Source organism: Homo sapiens, chromosome 12 (genome assembly GCF_000001405.40).
Source record: "Homo sapiens chromosome 12, GRCh38.p14 Primary Assembly".
NCBI lineage: Eukaryota > Metazoa > Chordata > Mammalia > Primates > Hominidae > Homo > Homo sapiens.
Genome location: NC_000012.12, coordinates 95,691,558 through 95,713,350, shown reverse-complemented (window position 1 = coordinate 95,713,350; position 21,793 = coordinate 95,691,558). Strand labels below are relative to the sequence as shown.

At 39.4% G+C, this 21,793-nt stretch overlaps 1 protein-coding gene across 4 annotated transcripts in view, besides 4 other annotated features; it reads left to right on the top strand.

Moving 5' to 3' along the window:
• Positions 1-21,793, top strand: part of NTN4 (netrin 4) — a 133,349-nt gene that overhangs the window by 77,805 nt on the left and 33,751 nt on the right. For all 4 annotated transcript variants that reach the window (NM_001329701.2, NM_001329700.2, NM_021229.4 and 1 more), the window contains exons 4-5: positions 13-139; positions 2,722-2,910. In NM_001329701.2, the coding sequence (NP_001316630.1) occupies positions 13-139; positions 2,722-2,910 (316 nt within the window). The remainder of the gene's footprint in view (positions 1-12; positions 140-2,721; positions 2,911-21,793) is intronic.
• Positions 12,860-12,909: an enhancer, noted in NCBI's record as "active region_6813". NCBI's record gives its function as "activates an Ori minimal core promoter by ATAC-STARR-seq in GM12878 lymphoblastoid cells {active_cell/tissue: GM12878}" and the evidence as "EXISTENCE:reporter gene assay evidence [ECO:0000049][PMID:35858748]".
• Positions 12,960-13,029: an enhancer, noted in NCBI's record as "active region_6812". NCBI's record gives its function as "activates an Ori minimal core promoter by ATAC-STARR-seq in GM12878 lymphoblastoid cells {active_cell/tissue: GM12878}" and the evidence as "EXISTENCE:reporter gene assay evidence [ECO:0000049][PMID:35858748]".
• Positions 18,504-19,008: an enhancer, noted in NCBI's record as "H3K4me1 hESC enhancer chr12:96088119-96088623 (GRCh37/hg19 assembly coordinates)". NCBI's record gives its function as "activates a minimal SCP1, AML or CMV promoter by ChIP-STARR-seq in naive H9 embryonic stem cells {active_cell/tissue: H9 hESC(naive)}" and the evidence as "EXISTENCE:reporter gene assay evidence [ECO:0000049][PMID:30033119]".
• Positions 19,009-19,513: an enhancer, noted in NCBI's record as "H3K4me1 hESC enhancer chr12:96087614-96088118 (GRCh37/hg19 assembly coordinates)". NCBI's record gives its function as "activates a minimal SCP1, AML or CMV promoter by ChIP-STARR-seq in naive H9 embryonic stem cells {active_cell/tissue: H9 hESC(naive)}" and the evidence as "EXISTENCE:reporter gene assay evidence [ECO:0000049][PMID:30033119]".

The following is a 21,793-nucleotide window of genomic DNA, read 5'->3' as shown; positions in this document are numbered from 1 at the left end:
TGTTGCTTGTAGGTCCATGGGAAGTGTATGTGTAAGCACAACACAGCAGGCAGCCACTGCCAGCACTGTGCCCCGTTATACAATGACCGGCCATGGGAGGCAGCTGATGGCAAAACGGGGGCTCCCAACGAGTGCAGAAGTAAGTAACAAGCCCACGATACTCAAAAGCTTTCTTTGTAAAGTCAACGCATCTGTGGACTCCTTGTTGTCTCTAGAAATACAACACAAAGTGGTGGGTGACAAACACTAGACCCTACACAAACATAGCCATATCACTGCCCACTGAGGCTTCAGCCACTGAAAACAGTTGCCGTTCATTACATTGCCAATGTGACTGTTTTGCCAAGAATATGTTGCCTATTTGCTTGGATACTTTGTGGGAGCTAAGAACTCTTTTATAATTTGACATAATAAAAACAGGAGGATGGCTCACACCTGTAATTTCAGCACTTTGGGAGGCCAAGGCGGGTGGATCACTTGAGACCAGGAGTTCAAGACCAGCCTGGCCAACATGGTGAAATCCCATCTCTACTAAAAATACAAAAAAAAAAAAAAAAAAAAAAGAAAGAAAGAAAGAAAAAATTAGCCGGGCATGGTGGCGTGCACCTGTAAGCCCAGCTACTTGGGAGGCTGAGGCACAAGAATCACTTGAAACCGGGAGGTGAAGGTTGCAGTGAGCCGAGATCACGCCACTGAACTCCAGCCTGGGTGACAGAGGGAAACTCTGTCTCTAAATAAATAAATAAATACATGAATAGACACGAGAACATCTGATTCTGTTGTACTCTCATTGCTGAGATGGTGAATTATAAACATGAAAATAGCTATGTTGAATTCAGTTCTCAAAACTACCCAATAAAGCACGTGGTGTTAATCCCATTATAGAGATCAGGAAACTGAGGCTCAGTAAGATTAAGTGATTTGCCAAAGTTAGTAAATGATAGTGGGGACTTGATCCCAAGTTTCAAGACTCCATATTAGGTACTTTTTCCCATAATACCACATTGCCTTTTTTTTTCACTTTATGATGCTTGAAATGAAAGATTAGATTTGAAATTAAGCCAGTAAGTTAAGAATGAGATTTCTCTACAAGGACTAACTAACTTGAGGTTTGAGGCTGGAGATTAAATAGGAAGGTTAAAATATGGGAACATGAGCCATTTTTTTCTTTGCAATTTAAAATGTTCAGAGAAATGCGCGTGCCCATCACAATGTTAACGCTCACGAACCTCTCTTTTACAAGAATTTAAAAGCAGGTTCTGTGGGTAAAACTGTGAGAAGTCTCTTCCCATACGTAATTTGGAGTCATAACTGATTTGTTTTTGTTTCTAGGAAATGTAAAGGATTTCCTGTAAGAATCCATCTTAAATTATCTTGTAATATACTTTTAAAAGATATGAATCTGGTCAGAATTTCATAACACATCAAGGAAACAATGAAAAACAATAGCACAAACATTTTCAAATACATTTGACCTCCACAAAAATCTGGATTCTTATTCTAAATCACTCATGAAGAGAATCTAAAGAATTTCTCCTGAATTCCTAGGGTGACTTTCTGGCTCTTTCCACAGAAATCAGCTGCCTATCTAAATACGTATAGAACACAGAGACATGTCACTTGATGCTATTGACTTATAATCTTAGAAATGCCTTTGAAGAATTGTTATATAATAAATACTGCAGGCCTCTTCTGTAAGAAAATTGAGGCTTCAATAGGAGTCCACCTTCTACTCACCAGTTCAACAGCTGAAGAATATACTTTATGAAAGATAAATCAATCTACTTGCCAACTTACTAAGCTCTGTCCACCAGAAGCTTCCTTCCAGGCTCATTAGTAAGCATGAATTCATGCCTACATCTGCAATATGAATGCTCCTTTCCACATAAGGCCTGACAATCTCAGCTTTTCTTAGCAAGGACAGGAGACCCACAGGGATGACCCTTGAGATGTATCAGGAATGGGAATTGTGAAGTGTTACCAAAAGAGAGGGTAAAAAACTGGTTGTCACTCCTGTAATCTTTCCATAATAAATGTCAATCCCCGTTGGTAAGTTCATCATAATATCTCTGCCCAACTAGACAAATCTACACTTTGTTGATTTTCATGCATCTCCTGAAACTTATTTTTTTTAATTAACAGCCTATAATGAAAAACTGGAAGGCTACACAAGAAACCCTTTTAAAAAAAAGTAGTAACCTATTGAAATCAGGAAAAACAGGGTAAATGGGGAGGCCGAGGCTAGATTTCTCAATGGATACCTTTCTATATTGCTTTGATTTTTGTATTGTTAACTACTCAGAAACTAAAACTAAACATTAACAATCAGTTTATCCTATTTTTAGTTTATTTATTTATTTATTTTGAGACAGAGGCTGGAGTGCAGTGGCGCAATCTCAGCTCACTGCAACCTCCACCTCCTGGGTTCAAGCAATTCTCCTGCCTCAGCCTCCCAAGTAGCTGGGACTACAGGCGTGTGCCACCGCACCTGGCTAATTTTTTTGTATTTAGTAGAGATGGAGTTTCACTGTGTTGGCCAGGCTGGTCTCAAACTCCTGGCCTCAGGTGATCCACCTGCCTCAGCCTCCCACAAGTGCTGGGATTACAGGTGTGAGCTACCACGCCTGGCCAACTCATCCTATTTTTACCTATCTGAATATGAGATAACCCATCATTTTATTTTTACTTATTAGTGTTTCTCTCCACGCTTCTTATTTCCAGCCTGCAAGTGTAATGGGCATGCTGATACCTGTCACTTCGACGTTAATGTGTGGGAGGCATCAGGGAATCGTAGTGGTGGTGTCTGTGATGACTGTCAGCACAACACAGAAGGACAGTATTGCCAGAGGTGCAAGCCAGGCTTCTATCGTGACCTGCGGAGACCCTTCTCAGCTCCAGATGCTTGCAAACGTAAGTAACCTGTGGTTTCCAGAAAATAGGCTGATTTGTACAAGAGATGAATCTCTTTATCCCTCATTCTGCTAACCCAAAAGAAGGAGGTCATTGAGGTTCTGAGATAACACACTCACAGATATCGGTTAATTTCTTCATTGATAAGAGGCAAGAATTTTCAACCAGTTGGGTGAAAACAGTATAATATTCATCAAAGTAATTTCCTTTCTCATTCTCCATAAAGTAAAATTATTTCCTATAGCACTGCATTTTGGTAAACAGGATGACTAATAGAAAAAAGAGTGATGAAGAGGGAGAGCTATTTAAGATCTTAAGACTACTTGTGAGTAGAAGGTAGACAATAAATGGACTCAAGCTGATGAAATAAAGGATAGTTACTGCACTTGGATTATTCTTTTACCTTAACAGTGAACTTAAACATGAAAAAAGACTAGTTTTGGTTTCCTTATAAATCCATTTTGATTGACACTGCTCTAATGTATCCTCACTATCATAACTAATTTAGGAAATCATATTAATTTTATGCTCTCCCCCAAAATACTAAACTCTTATAGCATGGGTTCTGCTTTTTTATTGACATAACTCTGAGAAGAGGTTTATTTGGAGGCCAGGCATGGTGCCTTATGTCTGTAATCCCAGCACTTTGGGAGGCCAAGGCAGGCGGATCGTTTGAGCTTACAAGTTCGAGACCAGCCTGGGCAACATGGCAAAACCCTGTCTCTACAAAAACTACAAAAATAGCTGGGTATGGTGCTGTAGGCCTGTAGTTTCAGCTATTTGGGAGGCTGAGGTGGGAGGATGGCTTGAATCCAGCAGGCAGAGGTTGCAATGAGCTGGGATAGTGCCACTGCACTCCAGCCTGAGCAATAGAGCCAAACCTTTCCAAAAAAAAAAAAAGAGAGAGAGAGAGAGAGAGAAAGGAAGGAAAGGAAAGAAAAGAAAAAGAGGTTTATTTGAAAAAAGAATAGAATTTGAAAAGATCTATCCGATTCATAGGACATTATCTGAATTATGTGAATGTAAAGGGTGCATGCAGGGCTTATGTAAATGTCAACTGTGGATGAATAGCTCATCTAACCACATCAGTATTTACCCTCTCTCAGCTCAGAAATCATCAGATAACAGAAGCCACTCAAGACTATTAATGGAGATTGATGATCATGCCCTTCCTTTCCCTACCAAGGACTCCATGTTCTAGCTCAAAAACAGTGACAGGAAGAAAGCACTACAATGGGAAATAAGCATTTAAAACCTTGGGGTTATTTGCGAGTTTTTTAAAGGAAAAACTATATTGCTCTTTAAAAATATTTTTTTAACATCAGGGAGAAGATATCAATGTGCAATTTGAACAGGCTTGCTTGTTAAAAGCTTTTTCTCTTAAATAATGGCAGATAAAATATAGTACTGCTCACTTTCCACACCAAGCCCCAAATCTGGATCTGTGTCATAATATTTCTCCCAGCATCCTGTTTTACTCCTGCTCCTTGTTTGTACTCAGACTTTGTAATATTTAATAGGTTTCAAACAGATGTAGATTCAATGCCTTCACTGCCAATTGCCAGCTGTGTGATGTTATGCCAGCTATTGAAGCTCTTCAGACTTCAGTTTCTTCATATGTAAAATTCCTGCCTGTAGTGTAATGAGAACTATATAAGACAAAGTGTGTATATAAGATAAAAGAGATGGCACATTGCCTGTCATAGAATAAGCCCTCAAGAAACGAAAACTACGCCAGGTGGGGTGGCTCGCATCTGTAATCCCAGCACTCTGGGAGGCTGAGGTGGGAGGATCACTTGAGCCGAGGAGTTTGAGACCAGCCTGGGCAACAGAAGAAGACCCTGTCTCTATTTTTAATATTATATTTAAAAATAACAATAAAGAGGCTGGGCGCAGTGGCTCAGGCCTGTAATTACAGCACTTTGGGAGACCGAGACCATCCTGGCTAACACGGTGAAACCCCATCTCTACTAAAAATACAAAAAATTAGCCGGGCGTGGTGGCGGGCGCCTGTAGTTCCAGCTACTCGGGAGGCTGAGGCAGGAGAATGGCGTGAACCCGGGATGCGGAGCTTGCAGTGAGCCGAGATCATGCCACTGCACTCCAGCCTGGGCGACAGAGCAAGACTCTGTCTCAAAAATAAATAAATAAATAAATAAATAAATAAATAAATAAATAAATAAAATAACAATAAAGAAATAAAAATGAAAACTAGTATTATAATAACTGTCATGTCCTATAAGCCAGAAAGTGGAAAATAATACTATAGCGTTTCTACTCTTTATTGATCAAAAATACCTTATTTAAAGATAATTACTTCCTTAAAATCTGCAGCTCCTTAGGGTCTAAAATATAGATCCTAATCTCCATGTGCTAACAAAATGGTCTCTGCTTATAATAATGGTGTCTTAGAACATAGTCCTGACACCATTTTGTACAGAATATGTTTAAATGAATAGATATATATACGTGTGTATCCCATAGCCTCAGACCACTAGTAGAAATGTCTAAAAATGAGAATGTCTGAACTACTAAGCAGATAAAAGAGAAAAGAAAAATAATTTGTCACTAACTTGGATAAGTTATCTTGTAGGGCAACAGGTAACATTTTCAAAAAGATACAGTTATATAGCATTTCCTTGAACAGTATGCTGTACAGTATACCTAATGTGTTCATGTATTCATTCATCCAGTTACTTTTATTGAGCGCCTACTATGTGCCAGGTGCTTAAGATGCATCAGAGAATAAGACAAAGATCCTTGCCCTCAAGGAGCTTATATTCTGATAGAGGAGACAGACAATAAATATAACTAATAAGTGAAATATACAGTATGTGAGAAGTTCATAAGGGCTAGTGTCATCAAAGAAGAAAAAAATAAAACAAGAGGGAAGGGATCCAGGGAACCAAGGGCTTGGGGTGGGAAGAGGAGTGGCAGGGTACAGTAAGGGACAGGATGATGAGGGTAGTCCCCAGCACTGGGAAGGTGAGATTTCAGCTAAGATTTGAAGACAGTGAAGAAGTTCACCAAAGAGTTAACTGGGGAAAGAACATTCTAAGGAGAGGGAATACCTAAAGTGAACGTCTTAAGACAGGAAGGTGCCTGATGTGACAAAGGAAATAACATGGGGGTTAGCGTGGCTGCATCAGAATGAGAGTTGGGGGTGTCAGGAGATGAGACTAGAGAGGTGACTGGGGAGGGGAGAAAATCTAATATGTACTGATGAGCCACTGTAAGCTCACCAGCTTTTACTTGGAGTAAAATGATGAGCCACTGCAAGGGTTTTCAGCAGAGAAGTGGCATGGTCTGACTTAGTTTTCAAAAGACTGTTCTTGTGTTACACAAAGGCAGCTCAATTCATATTGAACTTGCACTTTCAGCATTCAGCTTTAGTTGAAGTTAGCAAGCAAACTAGTGATTCTCAAAGTGTGGCTCTTGGACCAGCACCATCAGCATCACCTGGGAAATCTGTTAGACTTGTAAATTCTCGGACCCTGAGACAGATCAACTGAATCAGAAATTCTGCAGATGGGGCCCAGCAATCCGAGTTTTCACAAGCCCTCCAGGTGATTCTGATGCACAGTAAAGTTTGAGAAACACTGATCTCAATAAAGCATGCCCCGCCCCCCCAAATTTTACATTGGTTAACAAAGCCAGTTTCTAACATTTTGCTAACATTTGAGCCTCTTCTATGTGCTTGTGTAGCAAACAGCTAGTCACTTCCATTAGAATAAAGAGTAGAATACCAAGGGGAATAGTGCAAGAAAACGTTGGAGGATTGATTGGGGCTAGATTTGAGAGGGCCTTAACTGCCAACCTAAAAATGTTGGTATTTATTTTCTAGGGTACTAGGAGCCATCACAATAATTCAATTAGTATAGTGTGATATATTTGCAATGTATTTTAATGATGTATAGCTCAGATTAATTTCAAAGCATTACATATTATTCATTGCATTTTACTTTACTGATTTTTAAATTGTTTGGCTTTGTAAAGTCATAAGATAGGTAAATGTACAAAGAATTAAAACAGATGAAGCCCTTTTATAGTGCCTAAGTCTGACCAATTAAAAAGAGAAAAAAGAAAACACTTACTGGCAAAGTTGGAGCCAAAATAAATACCTTTTTGTTTATTTTGTTTTAGTTTTTTTTGTTACTGTTCTATGTTCAAGATATGGCTCATATTCTTACTAAATGTAAAAAGGTCACCAGCCCTAGCTTTTTAAATCCTAGAATACTCATAGCTTCAGAGTTTTATAAAAAGAGTATGAAAGAGGAGTTAGGAAAAAAAGTGACCTCTTGTTAGTAGTTACTGTTACTTATACAGCTCATCTAGAGACTTGTGCAAAACAAGTTCTATAGGTTTTGGTTCCCAAACTACCAGGTCTGTGAAAAACATAAGCAAATTGTGAGAATGCAGCTAAAATTAAACAACACCCGTAACTTTTTATTATTTTTTCAATCCATGAAAATGTCTGAACATTCATCAACGAACTTGAGCAATTAGAATATTTTTAAAGCTTATTCCTTCACTCAACTCATTCTTACTCAGTGCTACTATGTGCTAGGTGTGCTAGTTTCTGGGAATTACAACTGTAAGCAAAAGAGACACCATCTTTTGACAAAGCTAACAAAGTCTAGTGAGTTATCTGTAATGTATACATACACATATGTATATATAGGCAACTAGTGGTATACACACACACACTCATACACAGAAGTATAATAAGTATTGTGTTACGGAGTGTGGAGGGGAGCACATCAGAGGGGCAGTCAGCAAGAGTGGAGTGTTCTGAGTTTTGAGAACCTGAGACCTGAAGTTTAATGGAAATTAACAAAGCATGAGTAGAGATATTCCCATCAGAGAGAAAAATCAACAGGATTTGCCAAAAAGGAACAGAAGGAAGAAAGAATATAGCATATTCTGACAACTGAAAAAAGTCCTGGCCATAGAGACAGGAAAGAGTGAGGAGGTGGTTAAAGCAGTGTGAGGATGAGGGAAGTAGGGCAGGTAAGTGGTTGGCTGAAAGTGCCTGCATCTTGGACATCTCAGTCAGGGAGCAAGAGTAACTCTCGAGTTGAACTACCAACAAGTAGTTGATAATCAGTCCATGTGCGTCATCTACTATAATTGCCTGGTTGATATTTATAGATATAGCCATGTATATTTATAGATAATACCCAAGTACCAGAAGACCAAAGGCTCCAAAGTCATTTCAAGGAAAACTCCATCAAGACCACATTAAGATACTCTTAAAAAAAAAATTGCCCTGAAACATAATAAGGTAATTGTAACATATTTGTCTGTAATTCTAACATAATTGTAACAAGTTTCTGATCCCCTTATATGTTGTTATGGATTCAGCTACATCTGGCTACTGAAAAACTTGAAGCTAAAAACTACTACTACTAAGTCATATTAGTAATCATTCCTAGTTAACAAATACTTGGATGGTACTTAATGCACCAAGTAGGAAAATTATGAAAATAACCAACACCAATTTAGTTCTTTTAGCATAATGTATAGGAGGTAGATGGGTTCATAGGGAAGATCTGTATTTCTTTCTTTCCCTCTCCAGACAGCTCCCCGATCCCTGGGTAGGCTTCCCTAGGAAAGCCTATCTCCATTCGCTTTGTGACTATTCCAGGATACATTTGGGGCAGAGATGCCTGTGTCTGCTTCCCTAGCTTACGTTTCCTTACTGGCATCTGCTTCCAGAATATTACTCTGGTTCTTCTCTTTTTCTGAGCCTGCAGTAGATCCCAACATTTATCAGCACATCCAGTTCTCTCTACCTACGTACTCTCTACCTACGTTGTTTGATTAGGAGTATGTTTGAGAGCATTTTCATTACTCTTTAGTAATATTTTCATATCATTAATTCCCTCCTTAGTAGATGTATCCCTATGTCACCTCTTTGTCACTGCTTCAGTTATAACTGATAATAAAGCTTATGACAAATAAGTTAACATATTTAACATTTATTAAGTACCTATAATTACCAGATTTCATGTGAGGTGCTGACAGCGATATTCTTATAGCTAGATGTTTTCCCCCCATTATTTCCCACTTTACTTTTATGAGGAAGGTAGTATCAAGAAAACAAGTTGATATTTTAAAAATTTAAACTATTTCAGTATGTGGTTCCATCAACAACAAGTACAATGTTATTCAAAATAACAATTTTATTATATTTATTTTACTGAGCTTACCAAGGCAGAAAAGCAAACTGCTACTCTGTGTGTGGTCTGCAGACCAGCCGCATTGGCATCATCTGGTTGCTGATTAGCAATTCAGAACCTCTGATCCTACCCCAGAGCTATTGAATCATATTAAAGGTTCAGAGTAGCCAGGCATGATGGCACACAGCTGACATCCCAGCTCCTCAGGAGGCTGAGGAGGGAGGATCACTTGAGCCTCCAAAATTCGAGGCTGCAGTGAGTTAGGATCACGCCACTGCACTCCAGCCTGGGCAGCAGAGAAATTTCCCATCTCTTAAAAATTTTTTTTTAAGGTTGAGAGTGCTCTTGAATGCTTTTCAACAAGGGTTCTATGCACTTAATTTACAGTTAAATTTTTCAGAGTTAGCCAGAACAGCCTAGTTAAGCAAACATCCAAATTAACGAAGGTTTACATCTCTATTTGTGTGCATATAGGCTTAGAATATTTTAGAATAAATTATGTAGAGGTTTACTGAGAAAAAATGGAAATCTGAATAAATATGTTTCTGTGGTACAGCATTTTCCAGAGTTTGATCTGCAGAGTTCTAATTCTATGAAATGTTAATAGAAATTATGTGAGGGGAAATTTTGCTATGGCCTTCAAATTTAGGAAATAAATTAATCAAAGGTTTCTTCACTTCAGTATGTCTCAGAGCCTAATATGCTAATGTTTATTATAAACCTGTTTCGGAGTTTTGACATCTCTCCAATTTAACCAGAGAATGCTTTTCTTTCAAAGCATCTTTTGGGACCCGTGTTCTATAGCACACACTGGAAAATGTTGTTATACTGGCCATATCTATATGAAGACTTTACTTGGGAAGACACACGCTAGAAGATTTTTTTCTATATATTTGTTCCCCATTTCCAAGTGCTAGAGCCTACAAATGCGTACCAAGGAAATAATGAACCTTACATTTCTATCAGTGAAATAATCATAAACATAATATTAACTAGGCTTGGGCAATCTAGTCTATTGGACTGCCAGCAATGAACATATGACAGCCCTTTTCTTCTTCTCTCTCTTCTTTTCCAGTTTTTATCTTCTCAAAAGTTAGAACTGGGCCAGGGGTGGTGGCTCACACCTGTAATCCCAGCACTTTGGGAGGCCAAGGCCGGTGGATCACCTGAGGTCAGGAGTTCGAGACCAGCCTGGCCAACATGGTGAAACTCCGTCTCTACTAAAAATACAAAATTAGCCAGGCATGGTGGCAGGCACATGTAATCCCACCTGCTTAGGAGGCTGAGGCAGGAGAATCGCTCGCACCTGGGAGGCAGAGGTTGCAGTGAGCCAAGATTGCGCCATTGCACTCCAGCCTGGGAGCCTCCAGAGCAAGACTATGTCTCAAAAAAAAAAAAAACCAAAAAAAAAAAAAACCATTGAAAACCTGAAGCAACAGTTGAGATAAATTTACTAGAAGCACATAAGTTGTAGCTCAGTTTAGTTCAGAAAACATTTATTGAGTGCTTCCCCTGTGCCAACATTAAGTCTGTGAAAATCAGAAGATCTTCCCTAAGAGATGTTACATTCTAGATGAGGAGAAATGTATAATAATAGATCATTTCAGTACTCTGTGGTGGTGATGATGATGACAATATCATAGTAATTGCTGACGTATATTGAGTGCATACTATTTTCTGGTCACTATTCAAAGGGCTGTGTATGTTTTCACTTTTTTAACTTTCACTAAAGCACTTCAATGTAGGTAACATTATTACCACCCATTTTACAAGAGGAAAGTGCAATGAAAAAGATACAGCAAGTGCCTTAGGGAGAGTGTGGGGGTGAGTGAGGACAATTTAGGGAAGACTTCCTTGAAAAGATCCCTCCCTACTTCTTAGATGGCTGTTTCTGTTTTTTCCTGTAAAATTGCTGAAATACAGTTTGTCCTGATTTCTTTTTTTTTTTTTCTTTTTTTTTGTTTTTTTTTTGTTCTTTTGAGACGGAGTCTCTCCCTGTTGCCCAGGCTGGAGTGCAATGGCGCAATCTTGGCTCACTACAACCTCTGCCTCTTAGGTTCAAATGATTCTCCTGCCTCAGCCACCCGAGCAGCTGGGATTACAGGTGCTCGTCACCACACCCAGCTAATTTTTGTATTTTTAGTAGAGACGGGGTTTCCCTATGTTGGCCAGGCTGGTCTCGAACTCCTGACCTCAAGTGATTCACCTTCCTCGGCCTCCCAAAGTGCTGAGATTTCATGCGTGAGCCACCGCGCCCAGCCAGTTTGTCCAGCTTTCTAATCTCAGTCATTTTTAATGAGTTGATCTAGAAAATGAAACAAATTGATGATGTTCTTCCTCACAGCATCTATGATACATGTAATAAAATACGTACCTGGGCATGTTGATTCATTCAACAAATATTGATGGCATTAATCTTGGGGTTTTGTTTGCAGTTAGGTAGCTAGTTTCCTGCCAGGTTAAGCCAAGGACTTACTGGTTCCACGAATGTTCTAGGAGATTTTTCCTCCCACTCTCCTGAGAAGCACCATGCTAAATGCTATGGTTTTATGTGTACATTTTTACTTAATGGTTATAAATTCATCAAACCTGAAGAAACGAGGCCCTGAACCAAATCTTCTAGCCAATAGATTTATTTCTTGTGAGCAATTAAATCATCCCTGTTCTCACTTCCTCTTTATTTCAACCTTAATCAGAGTCTACTGTTGGACCCAGCACAATCAACTACACATTACCATGCCAAGAAATCACTTCTGAGGATTCCAGGGATGTTGTTTGTTTTTTTAAGACTGGGGAGATCACTGAAACTGAATTTATTTCTACAGCTTAGGAAAAAAAAATTTTTGAAAGGACAGTGCATTTAAGGTCTGTAAACACAAGGGAAAACATGAATCTCTCCAGCTGAACCTAGGGCTGAGAACAGAAATGGAGGCTCAAAGTGACTCGTTGCTCAGGCACAGAAGGAAAAAGGGGAATGTAATTCTCACTGTGTACTGAGGTACTTTGAGGAATCTCATCTCTCTGTTCAAAAAGTGGATAGTCTCTTTTAGAGTAACTCACTTGAAACCTTTAAAGTCACCTATGTGACTTTGGTAACCTATAACACAGGTAGATTTTTCTATAGCAGGCATATTTTTAAAATGTGACAGCAGGGGTGGTGGCTCACACCTGTAATCTCAGCACTTTGGGAGGCCAAGTGGGCAGATCACCTGAGGTCAGGAGTTCAAGACCAGCCTAGCCAACATGGTGAAACCCTGTCTCTACTAAAAATACAAAAATTAGTTGGGAATGGTGGAGGGCGCCTGTAGTCCCAGCTACTTGGGAGGCTGAGGCAGGAGAATCACTTGAACCGAGGAGGCAGAAGTTGCAATGAGCCAAGATTGCACCACTGCACTCCAACCTGGGCAACAGAGGGAGACTCTGTCTCAAAAAAAAAAAAAAAAAGAAAGAAAGAAAGAAAAAAGAAAGGGAAGAAAAGAAAAAGAAAGAAAGAAAAAAGAGAATAACCTTCCTAGATAATTGTGTACTGGCTTTTGCGGCAGGGTTCGTGGTGGGAGGGAACCCTGACCTGATTCACACCATTTAGCAATTTCTGTGGTTGAAACATTCTCACCACGGCCAGTTTCAAACTCTCAGGTCATTTTTCATCAGGAAGTCAGACTCAGACTCTGAGTCAAAAGTAGAACGGTTTGGACAAGGTCTTGCCTCCACTTTCACAGCCCCACTTCTCTCACCTCAAGTCATTGGTTCCCAAACCTGGCTGTGGGTCAGAATCACCAGGGAGCACTTACTCAAAATGTGCAATCTTAGAGTCCTGCCCAGAATACACTGAATCAGAATCTCCAACAGGGCGTCCGGACAGAAATCTGCATTCCTTTAAAAAGCATCGTTGGTGACTCTGATTCAGCCTTTTGGCCTCTTGGCTCAGCATTTGAAAACCACTGCTTATAGCAGTCTTGTCTCTAGCATAAGCTCTCTTTAAAAAAAAATTAATTAGCTGAGCATGATGGTATGCACTTGTAGTCCCAGCAACTCAGGAGGCTCAGGCAGGAGGACCACTTGTGCCCAGGAGTTTGAGGCTGCAGTGAGCCATGATCACACCACTGCACTACACAACCAGGGTGGCAGACTGAGACCCTAAGTAAAAAAAAAAAAAAAAAAAAAAAAAAAAAAAAAAATCCTCACTTTAGAAGAATACACTGTTTGAAACAGGTGTTTAAAGAAATGCCTGTAGAACAGAATTAACTCCTTTTAGGAAACAACCAGTTAATTCCTTTACAATAAATTTATTGACTTTTATGCCAAGACACATATTTTAAACTATTACATAGTCTTTCTCCATATTAAAAGGAAAATCAGAAAATGGAAAAGAAAGCAGAATTCATTCTCTGTCAAAGTAAACAACCTCTTGAAAGATTGGCATGCCCTTCCTTCCTCCCTGATGGGCCAAAATAAATGTAGTCAATTGCCCTTTAGCACAGAGTGAATAAAAATAAACTTGGTCTCTCTGCCCTAAAACCCAAACCAAGCATTTACCAAGATAGCATCTGGTTTCATGGCTACCTACCCAAATGAACCAGCTATCTTTGTAAAGAAAGGGTTATATCATCCAGATCTTTTTTTTTTTTTCCTTCTTTCTGGCTTAGGTGAAAACTACTCAGCTGTTGGAGATGCAGGTGCTTTGGGTGGATGACTCTCTTGCCTCAGTCTCTATTGCCATTCTTCACATTCTACTCAAATAGCCCCTTCTCATGATGCTCTCAGGAAGAGTCTCTGCATTTCCGTTTGCACTGATCTCTCTTAAACAGTTATTTCATTTTACCTCCTGTATAGTGATGCTTCCATTTCAGTCTATCTTTCAAGTACAATTTTTACACTAATTAAATCCAGAATACCTTACCACAATTACACATGTAAGAAAACATAAGCACCTTTCATTTGTTTATTCTCGTGCCTGTGAACCAGTCCATTCCTTCCCAAAGGTTATTGAGGTCTCTTCAAATAGTAACTTGTGGGCTTTTTCTTTCAAATTGTAGGTTTGGCAAAGTCACGTGAGTTCATTTTATACCATATAAACAACATAGACATCCTTGTTTTATATTGAAAGCAACTGTGAATGATTCCAGCATAGAATCAATATGAAGTAACTGTTTGTGGAAACCACACTTTAAATAGAACAGTAACTTGGCAGTAATAGTTGGGAAACTTTAATCTCAGCTTTTTTTTTTTTTTTTAATCCAAGAAGTAAAACCAGAGTTTAAGAAGTGAGAGAAATAGAGAAAATAGATATGTCATAACATAATAATCATACTAAGGCAATCCTTTAAAAAGATTAAATAACACATATTGAAATTCATCAAAAAAAGAGAAGCTACGATTATTTTTTATTTTATTTTTTTTTTGAGGCAGAGTCTCACTCTATCGCACAGGCTGGAGTGCAGTGTCATGAACATGGCTCATTGCAGCCTCAAACTCCTGGGCTCAAGCAATTCTCCTGCCTCAGCCTTCTGAGTAGCTGGGACTACAGGCATGTGCCATCATGCCCAGCTAATTTTTTAATTTTTTATTTTTAGTATAGACAGGGTCTCACTATGTTCCCCAGGCTGGTCTTGAACTCCTGAGCTCAAGTGATCCTCCCACCTTGGCCTCCTAAAGTGCTGGGATTACAGGCTGGAGCCACTACACCCAGCCAAAACTTTACAAATTGATGGATAATAAAAATCAGTCACATTTGGGAAGAGAAGTGGACAAGGTCATGAAATTCTCTAAAATGTCTTCCAAGAAGAAAGTGGAATGCAGTAATTCACTGAATAAATAAATAGTATACCATTCTACTTTTGATGAGGACATGTAATAATCAAGCAAACAATTAGAAAATATCAAAATCTTCAGAAGGTCTGGACAAAATTAGAAGGTGCATAAAGAAGAGAATGAGCATTTGGTGAATGGCTGTCATGGACCAGACCTCGTGGTAGGTAATTTAGCAATGTTTATGTGCTAAGTTATAGCTTTATGTGCTATATTTTCTATTTTACAAATGAAGACACTGAGACTTAAATTGATTACAGTTGTCCCTGTTCCTCCATCCACAGTATCCTCGAGGGATTGGTTCCAGGATCCCCGAGGATACCAAAATTCATGGATGCTCAAGTCCCTTATATGAAATGGCTTAGTATTTTCATATAACCTATGCACACCCCCCTGTATACTGTAAATCATCTCTAGGTTACTTATAATACCTAATACAATGTAAATGCTGTGTAAATAGTTGTTATACTGTAGTGTTTAGTTGTATTGTTGTATTGCTATTTTTTACTGGGTTTCTCCTCAAATATTTTTGATCCACAGTGGGTTGATTCTATGGATGCTGAATCCACGGATGTTGAGGGATGACTGTATATAATTTGCCCATGTTCACATAGCTGGTCAGTGCCAAGGCTGGGATTTGAACCCAGGTTAGTCTGACTACAAAGATCCCATGACCTGCAAAGATCCAAAGAACTGTATTACACACCGTGACCCAGTTAATGACAACAGAATCAAAACCCAAAGGAAGAAATAATAAAATATATATTTTAAAGGCAAAAATAATTTTTAAAGAACCTAGTTTTTTTGAAAAAAAAAAAAAAGTAAAAGCCTTTAGTTTTGTAAGGCCCTGCTTACTGATAAATAGCCATGTAGTATTTGAATCTAAAGAACTGATTTCATCCTAAGGAATCTTAGTATAGGAAAGATGGAAATGACTGGAGAATATTCCAGATAGGCCAACAAAAACCATCAAGAAAAGAGAGATACTAATGAATAAGTGTGAAAGATGATAAATATTGTCAGATTATCCAGGAAATTTCTCAAGGATACTACAGCAACTTTCTATAAATACTCAAAAGGTGTAAGGGGGAAGTAGAGGTGTGGCAAAAAATAATTTACTTTCCTTGAACAAAGAGTTCTAATTGGATATAATTGGGTGAAAGGAATTTCAGATTGATTAATGTGAAAGAAATTTTGCTGCCAGTGAAAGGTACTTACGGGTGGAGAATGTCCCCTATCAAGTTAGAATAAATAACTTTTTTTTTTTTTTTGAGACAGGGTTTTTGCTCTGTCACCCAGGCTGAATGGAGTGCAATGGCATGATCACAGCTCACTGCAGCCTTGACCTCTTGGGTTTAAATAATCCTCCCATCTCAGCCTCTCGAGTAGTTGGGACTACATGCACATGCCACCACACTCAGCTAATTTTTTTTTTTTATTTTTTGTAGAGAGGGGCTCTTGCTGTGTTGCCCAGGCTGGTCTTGAACTCCTGGGCTCAAGTGAACCTCCGGCCTCAACCTCCCAAAGTACTGAGGTTACAGGTGTGAACCACCGTGCCTGGAAAGAACTTTTCTTACAAAAAATAAATAATAAAGCTGGACTGACTGAAGCATTAAATATAGGATATAGTCTTGCTCTGGGAAGGTGCAGAATAATCTGCTTTGTTTTGACCATTTGAGTTTACCATAGATTTGTTGGGGTGGTTTTCTGTTTCTAGTATCCAGTATCCAGTACTACAATCCTGTGGTGTTAAGATATTATTCACAGAAACCTATAAAGAGCAGTATGGACCTTCTAGGAGGTTCATCAAAACATAAAATCATTTCATGATTGTTGCTTATTAAGATGCACGTTCATTTATTAATGTAACAAAGGTGAGTGATTTGCTAAAATGGGTCAGGCATTGACCTAGGTTTGGGGGATACAGCGATAAAACGATGTGGTTCCTATCCTCTAGCCCTTTACAATGTACTATAGTGACGGCAGTGAGGTGAAAAATCAGAAGATTATTGGAGGCCATAAGATCATCAATTATTAAGAAATATTTTTTAAATGACACAAATAGTTCAATTTAAAAAACTCAACCTAAATTTATTCAGTGCCTCTCATGTGGCAGGCCTATTCTAGTCACTGTCTGTACAACAAAATTGTCTCTATCCCCGTGGAAATAGACTCTAAATAAATTTACCCAAGTAAATATGTAATTAAAAGCTATAATAAGTGTTATGAAAAAAAAAGGGGAGCATGACAGATTATGGCAGGATGAACCGCATCAGTTCAAAGGCGAGATCGAAGATAGACACAGTTAGGTTTGTTTCTCCAAAGGAAAAAGGAGCTAGGGATAACTCCAGTTCCTGGCTAGGTGCCTGCATAGATTGGAAATACAGGAGGCTGAACAGGTGGAAAAATAAGGAAGGAAGGAAGGAAGTGAGTATGGGAGGGAGGGAAAGGGGAAGGGGAAGGGGAAGGAAAGGAAAGAAAAAGAAAGAGGGAGGGAGGGAAAGAAAGAAAAGAGAAAAGAAAAGAGGGAGGGAGGGAGGAAGGGAGAGAATGGTGCACCCAAGTTTTCCCATGATAAAATTTGTCTGTATATGCAAAAGTGCTTTCTTCAGTTTTAATTAAAGTAGCAAATCAAGAATATAAAATTGGCTTTTTAGCTGCCTAAGATCTCTTAGATATACCCAGGAATAAATAGTAACTGGCCCAGCTACAACTAGTAAACATGAAAGGAATGATACAGAAATTAAATAGGGAATCTGAGCAGTAGTCACATAGCAAGCATTAAAAATAAAGGCTATGGCTGAGCGCCTGTAATCCCAGCACTTTGGGAGGCCGAGGCGGGCAGATCACTTGCGGTCAGGAGTTCAAGACCAGCCTGGCCAACATGGTGAAACCTTGTCTCTACTGAAAATACAAAAATTAGCCAGGTGTGGTGGCACACACCTGTAACCCCAGCTACTCAGGAGGCTGAGGCAGGAGAATCACTTGAACCCAGGAGGTGGAGGTTGCAGTAAACCAAGATCACGCCATTGCACTCCAGCCTGGGCGACAGAGCAAGACTTGTCTCAAAATAAAATAAAATAAAGGCTATGACTTTTGTATTTATTTGCAGTATGCATTTAAATGTGTATAGAAGACAGGAAACAGACTTAAATACTGTACATTTATTTTTTAAAGCTTTAGAGGCAGATCTCATGCATCCTACCCCTCTTTTGGGTAGGATGTACAAAAACTCAGGAGACACTGAACTTCAGTAAATGAAAGGCAAATCATAATTCAGATTGTTTTCTTATTAAACTGATTCAAGCGTCATTTTTTTTTTTTTGAGACAGTCTCGCTCTGTTGCCCAGGTTAGCGTGCAGTGGCGTGATCTCCGCTCACTGCAACCTTCACCTCCCAGGTTCAAACCATTCTTGTGCCTCATCCTCCCAAGTAGCTGGGATTACAGGTTTGCACCGCCACACCCAGCTGATTTTTGTATTTTGAGTAGAGATGGGGTTTCACCATGATGACCAGACTGGTCTTGAACTCCTGGCCTCAAGTGATTTTACCTGCCTTGGCCTCCCAAAGTGCTGGGATTACAGGCATGAGCCACCATGCCTGGCCATAATTTTATTTGAAATTAAATACCCCTTGAATATTGTGGAACTAGCTACCATTGAACGTAATGTATATAACATTGCAAGGATCAATAGAAAAATGTTCCCTAGGATAGTAAAGGGGTACCATATGGCCTTTCACAGAGTAAAGCACATTTACAACTTTTTCTTATTTTTTTATAGCTTTTCATCCACTAGCAAAAATAGTTGATAGCAGAAGGAAAGAAGAAAACAGTGCCAAAAAGAAAAAAAAGATAAAAGATCTCATTTTTTCTACTATTTAACTTCACACTCTATTTATGTATAACAGTTCAAATTGTGTCGTTTCTTCTTAAAGCTGTGTCTCGAAATCATCTCCCTTAAGTCCCCCTTGCTCTAAGAATTCAGCAGGCAGCTGGGCAGCTTTTGGAATGACTTCACTATTAAAAATCCCCCTCAGAAATTCTGTAGGGCCTTGGCCTTTTCAGGAGAAAACAATGTTGGGAGCCTGGAGGCGCTGCCGAGGGAGTGGCCGCGCGGAGGGAGTGGCCGCCGGGGTCTTGGTGAAAGATCTTGACAAGCAGCTTCTTTCCCAGCTAAGGGCCTTGAACTTTGAGTTCTGTTTTTAGAAAAGCTAAATCAGGAGCAAATACTTTTAGGGTATTTTTCTCCCAGTGTAGCTTTTATAACAAAATAACAAAAGTTAGAGCCATCAGGTAATATTAAAGGAGGCCAGTTTCAGAGCGGTAAGATGCTGAATTCCATTGGTGGTTTCAACAATGAGCTTAAGATCACAGATCACTCCCTCAGTGGAAGACAGGCAGACTCCTAGAGTTCTAGTGGAAGGTGGGAATAAAGATGAACCGGCAGCAATTACCTCCTTTGACTCCATCATCAAAGGCTATAGCAATCTCTTCAGAATAAAGGGAGCCATAATGGTTCCATTATGTTCCTGTCTTGTGCTTGTGTTTGTGTACTTTTTATATTCATGCAGGTTGACCGCTGTGACTCTTGTCCTATATGACATTTCAGGGCAGCAGGACCATAGATCACACCCTCCTTTTTTTCAACATACTCTGATCCACAAAATAAGAGTAATAGGTTAATTTTTTTTCTTTTTCTTTTTTTTTTTTTTTTCAATTGAGACAGGTTCTTGCTCTATCACCCAGGCTGGAGTGCAGTGGCGTGATCTCGGCTCACTGCAGCCTCCGCTTCCCAGGTTCAAGCGATTCTCCTGCCTCAGCCTCCTGAGTATTTGGGATTACAGGGATGCACCACCATACCCAGCTAATTTTTGTATTTTTAGTAGAGACGGACTTTCACCATGTTTCTCGGGCTGGTCTCTAAATCCTGACCCTAAGCGATCTGCCTGCCTCGCCCTCTCAAAGTGCTGTGATTACAGGCATGAGCTTCCGCACCTGGCCAATAAGTTAATTTTTTTTGTCCAAGGAAAGGAACATATAACAGGAGAGTAACTTAATTCCATAGAACTTAGAGTAGTCAAGAAAGCAGTGTTCCTCTCTGATACAAAGGCAAGGAGGCTATTTTGAAAGCCAGTTCAATCATTAGTTTCCTTTAAAAAAAAAAACATATCTACAATGAGGCAGTTTGTTGCTCCTGTATTCTCATGCACCCTGAACTACCTCGGGTATAATGCTTACTGCCCTGTCATTATCTACACTTCTCTCTTCCCTCACTCAAGAGATATGACTTTTTGTAGTCATCTTTGTATCTTCGGCCCCTAGCATAGTTCATGTTAACCTTAAAGTTCAATAACCCTTTGGTAAAGTTGCAAGTGAATGAATGAACGAGTGGTGAGCATTTTTATACGAATACGTTTCATCTAGATAATAATATCCTTTTTTTTTTTAGCATTTGGTGCCACTAGATGCCTGATACATTGCTAAATATTTACATACATGATCTCAAACCTCACAAAACATCTCTGTGGCTTCCTTCATTAATGAGAAAACTGACAGCTGAAGAAGTTAATTTCACAAAGTCTTGTAAATAATAAGCCTCATCACCAGAATCTAGTTCTGGATAGAATCTAGTCATCTAGTCTGATTCCCAAGCTTGTGCTCTTACCAACTTTATTATATTGCTTCTATTTTATTTTCTGTCTTCTAAGAAATCTTACAGCAAATTTCCAAACAACTGTATTTATTGTCAGCCTTTGTGATTGATACAAATATTAGTTTTAGAGCCTTATGCACACACAAGATATTTGAAAATGTGCCCATCCATCGTTTCATTAACAGGTGTGTTTCCTGCTAGAAAGTCCTACACAGCAGCATTGCCTCCTTTTCTATAAATGCTGCAGGGGCCCTGCTTCACTTTCAGATGTATTGCTGCAAACATATAACTATAGATAAAATTTCTATCATATTCAGCAATTATCTAAATTCATTACTTGAAGGGAATCTGTTGTGAAATCTTTTGTAAAGTACTCATTTCCTCTACCTCATCTGTTTCAAAACTTTTGCACTGTTACCATAGATTTTCTTCCAGTAGAACACTTGGGTAAAGAAGGTACCAGCCAGGCATAGTAGCTCATGCCTGTAATCCCAGCAGTTTGGGAGGCTGAGGCGAGTGGATCACCTGAGGTCAGGAGTTTGAGACCAGTCTGGCCAGCATGGTAAAACCCCATCTCCACTAAAAATACAAAAATTAGCTGGGCGTGGTGGCGGGTGCCTGTAATCCCAGCTACTCAGGAGGCTGGGGCAGGAGAATCACTTGGACCCAGGAGGCAGAGGTTGCAGTGAGCAGAGATCACACCATTGCACTCCAACCTGGGCGACAAGAGCGAAACTCTGTCCCCCCCAAAAAAAGGTACTATTCAAAGTAAGTCTCATGCATTATTGATGAACTCTTGTGAAAATATCCGGAAATTAAATTGACATTTTTAATAATTTTGTTTTGCCACCATGGTTGTGGGTGAGAGCAGGTTAGGGCAGATGTTTTGGGGGGAAAATGATGACTCCAGTGATGAATGATTTACCACCTAGACAGGCCATACAGCTTCTAAATATACCTGGTTACCACTCAGTGTAATATTTTGGCTCTTAAGGACAGTTCACCACAGCTGTGAACACTAAAAATTATAACGAAAAGAATAATTAATGTCAGCATAATAGTATATGATGATGGTTCAACTGTTGGGTCTAACAAGAAGACAGGCCGGGCATGGTGGCTCACGCCTGTAATCCCAACACTTTGGGAGGCTGAGGCAGGTGGATCACTTGAGGTCAGGAGGTCAAGACCAGCCTGACCAACTGGCAAAACCCCGTCTCTACTAAAAATACCACAATTAGC